A 17,088-nucleotide genomic window follows, 5' to 3' on the forward strand; every position below is an offset into this window, starting at 1 on the left:
GCTTGTTCCATTCTCACCATACTAGCACGAATTTAAAAGCACATGAAAGTGTTGGAGAGAACATTTGTTAACAGAATTGTCACTGAACTATTTATCTATGTGCCAGGTATAAGTCTCAAGCTTTAATCAAGAAATTTATAAGGAGCCGAGATTCTTGTTTTTCTCTCTTTTCTGTTTTATCCTTACCCTGAGGTGATGAATAGAGGATAGACTCGAGTGGAAAAGAAAACAAAAGTTAAAATTTTAGGCAGGGCGCGGTGGCTCACGCCTGTAATCCCAGCACTTTGGGAGGCAAAGGCAGGCGGATCACCTGAGGTCAGGAGTTCAAGACCAGCCTGGCCAACATGGTGAAATCCTATCTCAAAAAATATAAAAATTAGCCAGGCATGATGATGGGTGCATGTAATCCCACCTACTCAGGAGGCCGAGGTGGGAGAATTGCTTGAACCTGGGAAGCGGAGGTTGCAGTGAGCCAAGATCGTGCCATTGTACTCCAGCCTGAACGACAGTGAGACTCTGTCTCAAAAAAAAAAAAAAAAGTTAGTTAAAATTTTAAAAATGATCACTGTCTTAAAACATTATCTCATCTGATCCAAAATATTTCATCTAAAGAAATTTGCATATATTTACTAACATCACCTCTGCATTTCTCTGACTTTAGAATGAGTTTCCCAAGGCCACAGATAATGTCTTATTTATTTTTATATTTATTCCTAAAAGTCAGCACAGTAGCTGGTATTTAATGGAAGATCACAGAATGTCAACACATTTTATTTTACCCCAAATCATAAATAATAATTTTGATCAAGTTTAGTCACAAATTTCCGAAAGTAATTTTCTAAAAGGATCTCTTTTAATTGTGTAAAATGTATAATTTAAAATTCGGAATGTGAAAATACAGAACCTTTTTTTGTAAAGAGCATAGTAGTAAATATTTTGGCCTTATAGGCTATGCAGTCTGTTCAACTACCCAACTCTGTGGTTGTAGTGTGAAAACAGCCATAAGCAATATATAAGTGAATAAGTGTTACTGCATTTTAGCAGAACTTTATTTACGAAAACAGGCTAGATTTGGCCAAGGTTCATAGTTTCCTGACCACAGTTCTTAAACATAGCAAAAGGTATACAAGGTAAACTCACATTTTCTAGATGACCAATCACCCAGGTTTCCAGGACAAGGAAATGTTTGTTAGTTTAAGAAGCAGGGCAATCCTAGACAAACTGGATTAGTTGGTTACTTTACTTTTTCCTAGATTCTAATATCATTTGTTCATTCAATAATTCATTTAACACTGAGGGTCTATCAACATTCAACAAACGCAAAGTTTCAAATTAAAACAAAAGCACTTACATGTTCTGCCATTATCAGACAATTATATGACATGTTATTTTGCAGCCAATTGTAAAAGGCATTTTTTTACTTTATTATTAATTTTAAATTTAGACATACCTTAAAATGGACATACTATAGTAAACATCAACATAAAACAAGATAATGGAATATTATTCAAATAAAAAGATACAATATAGCAATATAAACTTTTTTGAATTTATGTCCTATAGAAGTTCTTAATCTATTTCACCAACACATTTTGTTCAGGAACTAAGTGATTTCTTCCTGTAATAAAAATCCCAAATTAAACTCCTTTAAAAGCCAGAAATTTAAAAAGGTTGGCAAATGTGCCTAGGAAAATCCCACTGACTTCATGATTCATCATTTGTATTGAAAATTAGAAGGTGAGAAAATTGAGAGGAAAAAAAATTCTCACTAATAAGGATTTTAAAAAATGATTCATTTCTTAAACTTTCTCAGAGAAGCAAATTATAGCCAAATTATAGGTCTGACAAATCACAATTAAGACATAAGAGGAATTATGGGGGTTGAGAGGCAAGGAAGGCCATGTTTCAACTTAAATATCAATTTCATTTAGCACCACCAAGATTAGCTCTTTCCTGCTACAAATTCTTTTAGTTTCTTAAGTCACTATTTAATGAAAAGGGAAATGGAATATTAGAGCCTGCATATATAAATCAAATGGGATTAAACATGGGAAGAAATGCATATAAAACATTAAGGAATGATCATACAAAAACATGGATAATATTTTTACCTGGAACATAGAAGGGAGGCTTCAAGTCCAACAATCAGGGAAACAATATGTGCATACATTTCACTTTGCAATTTGAGAACTTCCAGAGAGTTCCTGAAACTGTCATTGCCTGAATGGTATTTATTTTACAATAATTTTAACATTTGGAATAGAAAACAACACCGATTTTCAATTTCAGCATTGTATGGTGAAAATACAGTTTAAAAGGTCTGTTTTCTAGAGTATTTTGACAATGAAATGAATGACCTTAAAAATAAATGTTTAGCTGATGATTAAGACCATATTTTGTCTTACTACTTTCAATTTTGTTGCATATTTTATGGAAATGTCAAAGGAGAGCCATACTTTTTCTCAAATAATTCAAGCATAACCACAAAATAACCTTTAAACTGAAGAGCATTTTTATTTTATTTCATTGCATGTATTGAACAGATACTGTGTATGAAACTGGACACTTTAGGTGTGTACTAAATCAGGGCAAGGAGGATTTGGATTTTTGCTTTAGAATTTTAATTGCATTCATTTGCAATTCGGTAGAGGAAGTAAACAGCATACTAGTAACATTCATCAACGAGAATAGGGTAAAAAGTGATTTCAATAGAGTCTGTCTGCGTGAGCCTAATCAAATGAGGCCCGCAGTGTTAATACTCACTCCCATTCTCTCAGTCATAACAGTTCATTCATGAAAATCTTTATAATCATTTTATTAGCCATTCTTGTCAGAGGTCTAGTAACTTTAATTTAAGAGTCTTTGACTGTGGAAAAAAATGGAAGAATAAAAATGCGAAGGGGGCACTTGTGGTCTGAACGTAGACCATGCAGTTAAGCACATCCCCCTTCTCCTGCTGGAGAACATCCAAAAGCAACAAGGAGAAAGGGAAACAAAAATGCAAACTTCATTTTCAGCAGAAGTAGAAGACAGCTAAACCCCCCCAGAGCCCAAAATAGGTGTAAGGGCTGCCAAAAGCAGTGGAGACTAAGCAGAGGAGAGCAAGACTCATGTGGGAGGAAGCCCAGAGAACATGCCACAGAGTGAATTCCATAGCAGCAGGCAGAGGGCCAGCTTCTGAGATAGGAGAGAGCGAGCAAAATTCAGCTCTGCGAAGCGAGGGGCCCAGTCTGTTGTTAGATCTAGATCTTCCTTTGCAATGCAGGATTGGGGCACTTGTGTTGGCCCCAGAAGCAACCCTGGACCTGAGTTGATTTTTAGACAAAGAAGAAGGAAATCTAAATAAGGAATCACACACACACCAGCATATATACAAGGAAGCACATGGTTCAGGATAGTCTCTGCACTGTCTTGCATCTACCTACACCCAGCTGGCTGGAGAGAAGTAGTAGCTACATAAACCAATGTGCAGAAATCCTGCTAACCTGTAACACAGCTCTGGTTCCTCCTTTACATCTGAAACTCCCGTAGTAGTTGGTCCAGAAAAACACGCCTTTTTCAATGATGAGTTCAAAAGGAAAAACAAGAATGGGATCTATAAAGAGATACTAGCAGGAAAAAAAAAAAAAAGAGGAAATAATAAAAATTGAACAGCTAATACCCTGGAGGCCGCATAGCATAATTATTAATACAATAGAGTCTGGAAGCAGACTACCCAGTTACAAATCTCTAGAGAAAGTTAATTAACACCTCTGTGCCTCAGTTTCCTCAGTTTGTAAAATAGAGTTCAAGGGAATATCTACTGCATGGGGTTGTTAGGATGACTAAATGAACTCATGTTTGTAAAATGCTTAGAATAATGCCAAGTACAGAGTAAGTTCTATATAAATGTTAATTTTAAAATATGTAAATTGTGACTAAACATTTATCTTTATTGTGAAAAAACATTGGTCTTTATTTTTAAAAATATTTTAGTGGTGAGGTATTAAATGGTCTATGACAAGATGCCAAGCAGAAATACAACAATTAATGCAAATAATTGAAGAAATGAAAAGCTAGCATTGCTCAGAAAAATGGTGGGGAAAAACATCTCAAAAATAAAGGCAACACTAAGGCCAGGTATGGTGGCCTATGCCTGTAATCTCATCACTCTGGGAGGCCCAGGTCAGTGGATCACCTGAGGTCAGGAGTTCGAGACCAGCCTGGCCAACGTGGTGAAACCCCCATCTCTACTAAAAATAGAAAAATTAGCCGGGAATGGTGGCACGTGCCTGTAGTCCCAGCTACTCAGAAGGCTGAGGCACAAGAATCACTTGAACCCGGGAGGCGGAGGTTGTGGTGAGACAAAATTGTGCCACTGCTATTTCAGCCTAGGTGACAGAGCAAGACTGTCTCAAATAAAAGGTAACACTAGACAGATAATAAGGGAGAATGGACACTGTAAAATAAAGTAGGTACACAAAGTGTGTAAATGATGAAAGTGACAAAATAAAATTGAAATAAGAGAAAATTTCCAAAAGAATTGTAAATAAAATGACAACTATAGAAAACAGTCAAAAGAAATACAACACAGACTTTAGAGTTCTTTACTCAAAGCATAAAACTAAAATAATGCAACAGAAGAAACATTTCAAAGTGTAATTAAAGAATAAGTTCCTGAAATATGATTTCAAATCATTTGAACCTATTATTTGAAGACATGCATAATATATCAGGGAAAAATTACTCACTGTTGTCAACAGTGAGATATATCCTCATTAGTAACAAATGTTGAAGATAAAGCCTTTCATGGATAGCTGGCCGGAGGATTGGGATACTTATGAGGGGGAAATATAAGGCTAAATATACTTTTCTACGATATCATTCAGTACTGTAAGAGCGGCCCCAGCAAAATATTTTGCAAATAAAAAGTACAACCCAAAGATTTTATGCCCAGCTAACTTGCTATTTGAATATAAAAGTAACAAACTATATTTCTCATCTAATAACTCAGGCAATATGTAGAATCAAGACTAGAGAACCAAAAGGAAACTTTGGAAAAAGACTGGTGGTAGTAGTGAGAACTTTATGTCCCCATGCAATGAAGACCAAAGCAAATGTAGACATTAGGGTGACGGAACAAAGGTAAACTGTGGGTGTATGTGTGTGTGGGTGTGGGTGTATATAGTTTGACTAATAAAAATATGGAAGGTGGCCGAGCACGGTGGCTCATGTTTGTAAACTCAGCACTTTGGGAGGCCAAGGCAGGCAGATCACCTGAGGTCAGGAATTTGAGACCAGTCTGGCCAACATGGTGAAACCCTGTTTCAAGAATCACTTGAATCTGGGACGTGGAGGTTGCAGTGAGCCGAGCTTGCACCACCAGTGCACTTCAGCCTGGGTGACAGAGTGAGACTTTGTCTAATGTGTGTGTGTGTGTGTGTGTGTGTATATATATATATATATATATATATATATGTATATATATATATATTTATGTGTATATATATATATATTTATGTATATATATATATTTATGTATATATATGTCTATATATATGTGGAAGAAAAAAGAGAAAAACAGCAGAAAGTAAAGAATGCTGATTTCTCATCTATATTGATCAGAAATCAAAGAATATTATTTAGATTTAACAAACCAAGTAATAACATTGTAATTGTATTTAATGAACAAATGAAAACACTAAGAAAATTTATGTACTTTACTAAAATAGCATGATGGAGAAAATAAAGGAAGAGAAGGAAGATAGCAAAGTATATTATTTTCATCATTATCCATAGTAGGAAAGTAATAAATACTGTCCATGTAAATTAAGGCCTAAGGGTATAATATAGAGTAATAATTACAAAGGTAACTACTACAAAATAATTATATAAAATTTAAGAAAAAATTATATTCCTCCTAGAAAACAGAGAAAAGAAAAAGCTCAAGTTTAGAGATTTTAAAAAGCAAATAAAATAGAAAATATGGCATAAAATTATGCCAAACTTAATCTAAGCCCATTTTTATTGCATTAAACTAACATTAAAAATTGTTTAAAAGGCTTTCATGTTGGAGCATAAAACAAAGCTCAAGAGATACACCAAAAACAGAAAGGTTTTCAGAAATTTTGAAAGCAAACAAAATATAAATGCTGGGTAAAGGAAGTAAGTCTCTAAGAATGCCTACAGCACAATCTCCTTTATAAGAAATTCAAGGTAAGTAACATAGTGTTTTGGTAACCTTCACTGGGGACTAAAGTCTTTGATCAAAAAGGCAGGCTAGTGGCACCTCTGAAGGAAGGTGAGGGAGTGGACTCTGGAGGAGCTGAGAGAACTCAAAAGGGCTGGCTTGTTCTGAATTTAGTGTAAAAAGATGTCCTCATTCTGGAAGACATTTCTTTTTCAGTAGAGAAGTCTCTTTTCTAAATACAGACTGACTATGGTATACCTGAAACTCATTAGTGTTTATTTTGGCAGGGTGTGTGTGTGTGTGTGTGTGTGTGTGTGTTTTCTTATTAAGCTATTCTCCAAAAAAGACTAGGTGCTAAGGCCTAAAAGAGTACAAAGTAGGTACAGAGATGGTATCTTCAATTCATGTTTAGGTTGTAGATGCTGAGATTTGTACCTACTGAAAACCAACCTGAACTGGACAATTCATGTGCCTTGTACAACATTATTCAAAACTGAATAAGACAGATTTAAAAAATCATACTCTCAAATTTTTCTCAGATATATATTATGAACTGAAGTTCAGGTGACTTCCTGAGGATAAATTTAGTGCTATATTTAGGATACTGGGCCCTTGGGTAGCTAGCTGGAGCACCAATTTTTAAGGTGGGCTAAACCATCAATAAAACAAATAGAAAAAGGTTTCATCACGTTATGCAGTTCCTTCCAGGACCAATGAAGGAGATTTTCTTGCTCCTGACAAAACAGATGTCAATCATGAGTGAGAAGGTATTTTAAGTTTCTTGCCTATAATGTCAAATACATAAGAATATTATTTTATATTTAAACTATATATTAATTTCCTCCTTTGAACTTAACAAGATACTTAGTCTTTTTATTAATTAAAAAAAAAGTCCCTATTAAATAAGTGTGGAATACTTAAAAATAGCAGTTTGTAGCCTAGCCAAAATTTTTGCTTTTTGGGAGTCCAGCCAGAATTTTAGCTTGTTGAGAGTACTGCACGGCTGCATGGGATTCTGGTAGGGGTGAAGGTTTCCTCCTAAAGAAATTAGCATGCCCTCTGTCAATCATCCTGGGAAGAGTGAATTCCTGATGGGGAGGGTAACCTCTAATAACAGGTGTTAGCTGAGAGTGAGAGAAAACTACTTCCCCACTTCTACCAACTTGTAATGAGATGGCTTCTCTGGTACAGAGCCAGGCACAAGTGTCAATCCTGGGGAGTACTGACCCCTTCCACGTAACAGTGGACCGAGAAGAATGCCCAAAAGAGGACCTCTGTGGGGTCTGAGGACTGTGGATTCTAGGAGCAACTGAAGCTAGCATTGAGTGTTAAGTTTTCTGTTTATCTCAGGCCTTTAGTGATTGTATGAATATTATAACAATGTCTCAGCTCTTGCTACAGTGAATTATGGAAGGAATCTCTGCCTAAGCTTGGGTACTGTGGTCTAGGGTAGAAGAGAGAAGCAGGAGGGAAACTGGGTCTCCAGATGTCAATAAGTTGCCTTCCAAAGACGAGCAGAGGTCCTGACCTATGTGAAAAGGAATACAGCCACAATTTGAACCCAAACAATAAGACTGCAAAGCTCCTTCTCTGAATCTCTGTTCTCTGCTTCTTCTGAAATTGGCAAAGATTGTATTCCCAAGTAAAATGGAATGTCAGATCCACTACAGAGATCTGATCAGTAGAGCAAAGTGTGACATTACAGGCATGTGAGAGGAAAATAGAAGAAAAAACCAAGTCTCAGAGAAATTAAATAACTGGCCCAAACTTGCAAGAATTTGAAGCCAGGCCTGTTGGACTTCAAAGCCCATGCTCTTAATAATTTCAACAAATAATATCTTCACCCATCTCACTCACAGGGGTGTTGTAAAAATCAGACAAGGGCGATTTAAAATGCACTTAAATAACTATACAATGTGATATAAATATGTGCTGTATAAATTATATTATACAGCTACAACCTGCTGGGCTTCACTGTAGAGAGAAAGAGAAGATAACTAAATCAGAGTAGGTACAAATCGGTCAGAATGCAGTTGAAGTTTTCCTCTTCCTGCCTTCTTGAGGACAGAAACATTTTCAGTGCCAAACAATTCCCCAAAGGTCAGCAAATTCATTTAAGGTCCTATGTCTTCCCTGCTCCCCTGCCCCAAACCTCCTTGCCTCTCAAAATCACATTCACATGATGAAAACTACTTCAAATCTCACCTCTCCTGGAAAACTTTTATTTTGATTTTTTAAACTTATTTTTTTAATTGACAAATAAAAAAATGTATACAGTTATGGTGTAAAACATGTTTTGGTAAATGTATGCATTATGAATGACCAAATCAAGCTATTTAACATATGCATTGCCTTACAAACTTTTTTTTAAATTTTTTTTTTTTTTTTTTTTTTTTGAGATGGAGTATCACTCTGTTGCCCAGGCTGGAGTGCAGTGGCGCAGTCTCAGCTCACTGCAAACTCCACCTCCCAGGTTCACACCATTCTCCTGCCTCAGCCTCCCAAGTAGCTGGGACTACAGGCACCCACCACCATGCCCAGCTAATTTGTTGTATTTTTAGTAGAGATGGGGTTTCACTGTGTTAGCCAGGATGGTCTCGATTTGCTGACCTCATGATCCGCCCGCCTCAGCCTCCCAAAGTGCTGGGATTATAGGTGTGAGCCACCGTGCCCAGCTCCTACAAACTTATTTTTTGTGTATAGTGAGAACACTGAAAATCTGCTCTCTTAGCAATTTTCAATTATACCATGTATCGTAATTGACTATAGCCACCACGACATATGTATTAGTCTGTTTTCATGCTGCTATAAAGAAATATCTGAGACTGGGTAATTTATAAAGAAAAGAGGTTTAACTGACTCACAGTTCCACATAGCTGGAGAGGCCTCAGGAAACTTACAGTCATGGCAGAAGGTGAAGAGGAAGCAAGGACCTTCTTCAAATAGTGGCAGGAGAGAGTAGAATGAAGGAGCAGGGAAAACTGCCTTATAAAACCATCGGATCCTGTGAGAACTCACTCACTAGTACTAGAATAGCATGGGGGAAACCGCCCTCATGATCCAGTCACCTCCTACACTTGACACAGGGGGATTACAGATCCCTCCCTTGACACATGGGGATTACAGTTTGAGATGAGATTTGGGTGGGGACACAGAGCCAAACCATATCAACATATACTCGATCTCTTGAAATTATTCCACCTAACTAAATTTTGTGTCTTTCAACCAACATCCCTCTTCCTCCCAACCCGCAGCCTCTGGTAACTGCCTTCTACTTCTGTTCCTATAAGTTTGACTTTTGTATATTACACATACAGCTATAAGTGAGATGAGGCAGAATTTATCTTTCTGCGACTCCAGAGATTAAATGACTGTGCTACCACTCTGCTGATTCCTACCTCTAATCTCATGTATTGTGATGTCCCTTTTCTTTTTCCCTCCACTAAACTATACACTCTTTTGAGGACAGAGACCAAGTCTTCTTCTTCATTAAACAGCCAGGCCAGAACAATGCTTCAAAAACCTATTAGACATTTAATCATGGTTGAACAGACACATGGCTTTGTCTAAACTATCTGAGCATATGTGCAGGCATACCTGGTTTTATTGCACTTCACAGATATTTTTTTACAAATGAGGATTGGTGGCAGTCCTGGATTGAGCAAGTGTATTGATGCCATTTTTCCACATGCACATGTTCACCTTGTGTCTCTGCCTCACATTTTGGTAAGTCGCACAATATTCCCAATGTTGTCATTATTTTTATATCTGTTACGGTAATCTGTGATCAGTGATGTTTGGTGTTACTGTTGTAATTGTTTTGGGGTGTCATGACTCATACCCATAGAAGATGGCAAGCTTAATCGATAAATGTGTGTGTGCTGACTATTCCACCAAGTAGGCATTTCCTCATCTCTCTCCCTCTGCTTGGGCCTCCCTAATCCCTGAAACAACAACAATATTAAAATCAGTCCAATTAATAACCCTTAATGACCTCTAAGTGTTCAAGTGAAAGGAAGAGTTGTGCATTTCTCAGCTTAAATCAAAAGCTAGAAATGATTAAGCTTAGTGAGGAAGGCATGTCGAAAGCTGAGCTACATTGAAAGCTAGCGCTCTTGCACCAAACAGTTAGCCAAGTTGTGAAGCCAAAGGCAAAGTTCTTGAAGGAAATTAAAAGTTCTACTCCAGTGAACACATTAAAGATAAGAGAGTGAAATAGTCTTATTGCTGACAGAGGTTGAGCATCTCAAATCCAAACATTCAAAATGTGAAATGTTCTAAAATCTGAAAATTTTTGAGTGCCAACATGATGCTCAAAGGAAGTGCTCACTGGAGCATTTGAGATCTCAGATTTTTGAATTTGGGATGTTCAACCAATAAGTATGATGCAAATATTCCAAAATCTGAAAAACTCTGAAATCCAAAATACTTCTGATCCCATGGATTCCAAATAAGGGATACTCAACTTGTATGGAGAAAATTATAGTGGTCTGCATAGATGAAAGGAGCCACAACATCCCTTAAGTCAAAGCCTACTCCAGAGCAAGGCCCTAATTCTCTTCAATTCAAAGCTGACAAAGAAGCTGCAGCAAGTTACCCAACAGATCTAGCTAAGATCATTGATTAAGGTGGCTACACTAAACAACAGATTTTCAATGAAGATGAAGCAGCCTTATATTGGTAAAGATGCCATCTAGGACTTTGTAGCTAGAGAGGAGAAGACAATGGCTGACTTCAAAGCTTCAAAGGTCAGACCAATTTTCTTGTTAGGGGCTAATACAGCTAGTGACTTTAAGTTGAAGCCAATGCTCATTTAATATTCTGAAAATCCTAGGACCCTTAAGAACTACACTACCTCTACTCTGTGCTTTATAAATGGAATAACAAAACCTGAATGATAGCACATCTATTTACATATAAAACAAAGTATTCATTCTATGATATAATTGAAATACATTTGGAGTTCCTATCTGAAAACATTCTACTAAGCACTACAAAAGACAGAGAGAGAAGTAAATACGTAGGCAAGCATAGGCTCTATTGAGGTTAGAATTAAAATGACTATTGTATAAGAAATGAAAATGTTTACATAAGTCACCATAAGTCCATTAAAACAAAATAATGTTTTAAAGGAAGGGATTTGAAAAAAAAATCCAAAACTAAACCAAATGCTATAGAGAGTAAAAGGAAGGGTGGATTATAAATGATTGAGGGAATGTGGCAAGGCTCCATAGAGGAGGTGGTTTGGGTTGGCCTTAAAGGATAGTTAGTTAGAAGGTTTTTTCTTTTTTTTTTTTTTTTTTTCAATGTCCATAGGTTTCTATTCTCACCATCTTTCTGTTACAGGCGACAGGAATTTCAGAGAACTTTTCTAATCACAAGCTCTCCAGAGTCCATCTGCAATGCCATGTATTCACTAGACCCGATCCAGATCCTATTAAAACTCAGCATACTGCTTAGTATGCTGAGAAGAAAGCGCTCATCAGTTTGATGCAAACTTCTCAGATTGGGCAGCTACAATTAGAGTAAATACAACTGTTGTATCCTAGAGACCAAGGCCAGCTCCCTATGACTTTCCCTTGGTGTTGCCACAACTGCCAAATAGGGATGATTACAAATCTTGTTCCTTTCCACAAAAGGGCTCTTATGAACTGTAATGATAAAATATTGACAAAACACTTTTGAATTTGTGGTTAAGATATTCCTGGAATATCTCAATGAACGCAGAGTTTTGGGTTTAAAGATCAAAGAATGAGGTCTAATAAATGATGTATTTCAGTTTAAGGCTTAAATTATATCTTTCAGCCTCCACGATTCCTGGAATTATTCTTTGTATTCAGTTTTCTGCTAACAACTATTTGTGTGGTAGTTTTTTGAGAAACCATATTACTGGATTCTTAAATATCTTGTAAACTGCTCTCTATCTGCTAGTAAAGTTCTTCAGTGGTGATTGGATTAGATCTGTCTGAATATTTAATATCAGCAATACCCTTCATCGGTGGTAGTGAAATGCAAGGCAGGAGAAAAAATCCCTCTCACTGACTGTACAACTAAGCCTTCTGCCTGGTACCAACTGCACCAGTGAAACAGAAACTCAACAAATGCTTGGTAATCTTCATCTTTCTGTAATATCAACGAATATATCTTAAAACTTAGATAATTCGTATATGGTTTCTTTCACCCAAATAGCCATCAGAGAACTACAGGCATAACACAGAGATATTCAAAGTTTCTTTCCAGTCCACTAAAATAAAGCAGATATTACATTAAAGCATCACACAAATTTTTTATTTAATTCTAACCTCAATAGAGCCTATGCTTGCCTATGTATTTACTTCTGTGTCTCGTAGTGCGTAGCAGAATGTTTTCATATAGGAACTCCAAATGTATTTCAATTATATCATAGAATGAATGTTAAAGGATTTGGTCTGTCAATCATAAAACAATTCCCAGCTATGTTAATTTATACTAATTAACTCCTCCCAAGGAGTTGAAAAGTTAAAATAGTCTATAATGGTATTAATTTATTTACTTATTCAGCAGATTTTCTTGAACATTTATTATATAAGCCAGACAGTGGGAATATAGCAGAGTATAAAAAATAAAAGATGGTTTTGTTTTGTTTTGTTTTGTTTTGTTTGTTTCCTTGGGTATTTAGAAATCCTAAGGTAGTCAGTCCAGGGCTGTTCTATGGAGTAAAGCCTTGTCTAATTCAAACATATAAATCAATGCTGTAGCTCAATGTGTACCATTCATTAGATTGATGACTTGGAATGTCCTAGGTAGAAACAAAATCTGATAGTATTTTAGTCATTGTGAGGTGTAGATTTTCAATAGGGAAGGCATAACTTAGCAATGACATCATAAATGGTTCCTAGGCAGAAAAAAAAAAGAAACAAAATGACTTACACCAGTCCAGTCTATTTTTTTTAATTATGAAAATGATAGATTTCTTGGAAGGTCCTCCTAGGAATATTCCAGTCATATCTCATGGCCTGAAATGGATCCTATGGCCACCTGATATGGCAAAAGGGTCTGAGGAGATAATAAATTTTCATTGAGTATGTAATTATCCTGAACAAAATTTATTTTTGTTTCATTTTGTTTTAAGAAAGAAAGGGAGTGGGTAGGGTACAGGCTAAGGTGCTATAATTGAAAACCTCAAAGTGCAGTGGTATAAAAGTCTAGAGTTAAGTGGACACTCTAAGGCTAGTGGCATCTCTGCCTTCTTTAACTTATGGCCCCTACTTGTAGACCTAAGATGGCATTTCAGTCTCATTCTAAGCATCTGGAAAAGGAGAAGAAACCAGAGAAGTACACAAACAGTTATTTTAAGGACAAATCTCACAAATGATACCCATTAATTTTATTTACAAAGCATTGTCCAGAACTTAGTCATATGGCCATTTCTAGCTTCAAGGGAAGCTGGGAAATACAGTATTTAGCTGGGCATCCCTGTGTCTAGCTAAAACGCTATTAATTTGGAAGAAGGAGAAAAATGGGGGGGAGGAGCCAAGATGGCCGAATAGGAACAGCTCTGGTCTACAGCTCCCAACGTGAGCGACGCAGAAGATGGGTGACTTCTGCATTTCCATCTGAGGTACCAGGTTCATCTCACTAGGGAGTGCCAGACAGTGGGCGCAGGTCAGTGGGTGCGCGCACCGTGCGCGAGCCAAAGCAGGGCGAGGCATTGCCTCACTCAGGAAGCGCAAGGGGTCAGGGAGTTCCCTTTCCGAGTCAAAGAAAGGGGTGACGGACGCACCTGGAAAATCGGGTCACTCCCACCCGAATATTGCGCTTTTCGGACCGCCTTAAAAAACGGCGCACCACGAGATTATATCCCGCACCTGGCTCGGAGGGTTCTATGCCCACGGAGTCTCACTGATGGCTAGCACAGCAGTCTGAGATCAAACTGCAAGGCGGCAGCGAGGCTGGGGGAGGGGCGCCTTCCATTGCCCAGGCTTGCTTAGGTAAACAAAGCAGCCAGGAAGCTCCAACTGGGTGGAGCCCACCACAGCTCAAGGAGGCCTGCCTGCCTCTGTAGGCTCCACCTCTGGGGGCAGGGCACAGACAAACAAAAAGACAGCAGTAACCTCTGCAGACTTAAATGTCCCTGTCTGACAGCTTTGAAGAGAGCAGTGGTTCTCCCAGCACGCAGCTGGAGATCTGAGAATGGGCAGACTGCGTCCTCAAGTGGGTCCCTGACCCCTGACCCCAGAGCAGCCGAACTGGGAGGCACCCCCCAGCAGGGGCACACTGACACGTCACACGGCAGGGTATTCCAACAGACCTGCAGCTGAGGGTCCTGTCTGTTAGAAGGAAAACTAACAAGCAGAAAGGACATCCACACCAAAAACCCATCTGTACATCACCATCCTCAAAGACCAAAAGTAGATAAAACCACAAAGATGGGGAAAAAACAGAACAGAAAAACTGGAAACTCTAAAAAGCAGAGCGCCTCTCCTCCTCCAAAGGAACGCAGTTCCTCACCAGCAACGGAACAAAGCTGGATGGAGAATGACTTTGACGAGCTGAGAAAAGAAGTCTTCAGACGATCAAATTACTCTGAGCTACAGGAGGACATTCAAACCAAAGGCAAAGAAGTTGAAAACTTTGAAAAAAATTTAGAAGAATGTATAACTAGAATAACCAATACAGAGAAGTGCTTAAAGGAGCTGATGGAGCTGAAAGCCAAGGCTCCAGAACTACGTGAAGAATGCAGAAGCCTCAGGAGCCGATGCGATCAACTGGAAGAAAGGTTATCAGCAATGGAAGATGAAATGAATGAAATGAAGCGAGAAGGGAAGTTTAGAGAAAAAAGAATAAAAAGAAATGAGCAAAGCCTCCAAGAAATATGGGACTATGTGAAAAGACCAAATCTACGTCTGATTGGTGTACCTGAAAGTGATGGGGAGAATGGAACCAAGTTGGAAAACACTCTGCAGGATATTATCCAGGAGAACTTCCCCAATCTAGCAAGGCAGGCCAACGTTCAGATTCAGGAAATACAGAGAACGCCACAAAGATACTCCTCGAGAAGAGCAACTCCAAGACACATAATTGTCAGATTCACCAAAGTTGAAATGAAGGAAAAAATGTTAAGGGCAGCCAGAGAGAAAGGTCGGGTTACCCTCAAAGGGAAGCCCATCAGACTAACAGCGGATCTCTCTGCAGAAACCCTACAAGCCAGAAGAGAGTGGGGGCCAATATTCAACATTCTTAAAGAATTTTCAACCCAGAATTTCATAGAAAATCTAGAAGAAATGGATGAATTCCTCGACACATACACCCTCCCAAGACTAAACCAGGAAGAAGTTGAGTCTCTGAATAGACCAATAACAGGCTCTGAAATTGTCGCAATAATCAATAGCTTACCAACCAAAAATAGTCCAGGACCAGATGGATTCACAGCCAAATTCTTCCAGAGGTACGAGGAGGAACTGGTACCATTCCTTCTGAAACTATTCCAGTCAACAGAAAAAGAGGGAATCCTCCCTAACTCATTTTATGAGGCCAGCATCATCCTGATACCAAAGCCAGGCAGAGACACAACCAAAAAAGAGAATTTTAGACCAATATCCTTGATGAACATTGATGCAAAAATCCTCAGTAAAATACTGGCAAACCGAATCCAGCAGCACATCGAAAAGCTTATCCACCATGATCAAGTGGGCTTCATCCTTGGGATGCAAGGCTGGTTCAATATACGCAAATCAATAAATGTAATCCGGCATATAAACAGAGCCAAAGACAAAAACCACATGATTATCTCAATAGATGCAGAAAAAGCCTTTGACAAAATTCAACAACCCTTCATGCTAAAAACTCTCAATAAATTAGGTATTGATGGGACGTATTTCAAAATAATAAGAGCTATCTATGACAAACCCACAGCCAATATCATACTGAATGGGCAAAAACTGGAAGCATTCCCCTTGAAAACTGGCACAAGACAGGGATGCCCTCTCTCACCACTCCTATTCAACATAGTGTTGGAAGTTCTGGCCAGGGCAATTAGGCAGGAGAAGGAAATAAAGGGTATTCAATTAGGAAAAGAGGAAGTCAAATTGTCCCTGTTTGCAGACGACATGATTGTATATCTAGAAAACCCCATTGTCTCAGCCCAAAATCTCCTTAAGCTGATAAGCAACTTCAGCAAAGTCTCAGGATACAAAATCAATGTACAAAAATCACAAGCATTCTTATACACCAACAACAGGCAGAGAGCCAAATAATGAGTGAACTCCCATTCACAATTGCTTCAAAGAGAATAAAATACCTAGGAATCCAACTTACAAGGGATGTGAAGGACCTCTTCAAGGAGAACTACGAACCACTGCTCAAGGAAATAAAAGAGGATACAAACAAATGGAAGAACATTCCATGCTCATGGGTAGGAAGAATCAATATCATGAAAATGGCCATACTGCCCAAGGTAATTTACAGATTCAATGCCATCCCCATCAAGCTACCAATGACTTTCTTCACAGAATTGGAAAAAACTACTTTAAAGTTCATATGGAACCAAAAAAGAGCCTGCATCGCCAAGGCAATCCTAAGCCAAAAGAACAAAGCTGGAGGCATCACACTACCTGACTTCAAACTATACTACAAGGCTACAGTAACCAAAACAGCATGGTACTGGTACCAAAACAGAGATATAGATCAATGGAACAGAACAGAGCCCTCAGAAATAACGCCGCATATCTACAACTATCTGATCTTTGACAAACCTGAGAAAAACAAGCAATGGGGAAAGGATTCCCTATTTAATAAATGGTGCTGGGAAAACTGGCTAGCCATATATAGAAAGCTGAAACTGGATCCCTTCCTTACACCTTATACAAAAATCAATTCAAGATGGATTAAAGACTTAAACGTTAGACCTAAAACCATAAAAACCCTTGAAGAAAACCTAG

At 38.1% G+C, this 17,088-nt stretch overlaps 1 long non-coding RNA gene across 1 annotated transcript in view, besides 2 other annotated features; it reads right to left on the reverse strand.

Annotated features, from left to right (window-relative positions):
- LOC105370275 (uncharacterized) overlaps nt 1–17,088 on the reverse strand; it is a 44,604-nt gene that overhangs the window by 16,440 nt on the left and 11,076 nt on the right. The gene's annotated exons all lie outside the window — the stretch shown is intronic.
- Nucleotides 9,287–9,390: a silencer, noted in NCBI's record as "fragment chr13:80721652-80721755 (GRCh37/hg19 assembly coordinates)". NCBI's record gives its function as "represses an EF-1alpha promoter that drives an FKBP-Casp9 reporter gene in an ReSE screen in phorbol 12-myristate 13-acetate-treated (for megakaryocytic differentiation) K562 erythroleukemia cells {active_cell/tissue: K562(+PMA)}" and the evidence as "EXISTENCE:reporter gene assay evidence [ECO:0000049][PMID:32094911]".
- Nucleotides 13,904–14,198: an enhancer, noted in NCBI's record as "tiled region #9192; K562 Activating non-DNase unmatched - State 24:Quies". NCBI's record gives its function as "activates a minimal TATA promoter and a strong SV40 promoter by Sharpr-MPRA in K562 cells {active_cell/tissue: K562}" and the evidence as "EXISTENCE:reporter gene assay evidence [ECO:0000049][PMID:27701403]".

The sequence above is a fragment of the Homo sapiens genome, chromosome 13 (genome assembly GCF_000001405.40).
Source record: "Homo sapiens chromosome 13, GRCh38.p14 Primary Assembly".
Lineage (NCBI taxonomy): Eukaryota > Metazoa > Chordata > Mammalia > Primates > Hominidae > Homo > Homo sapiens.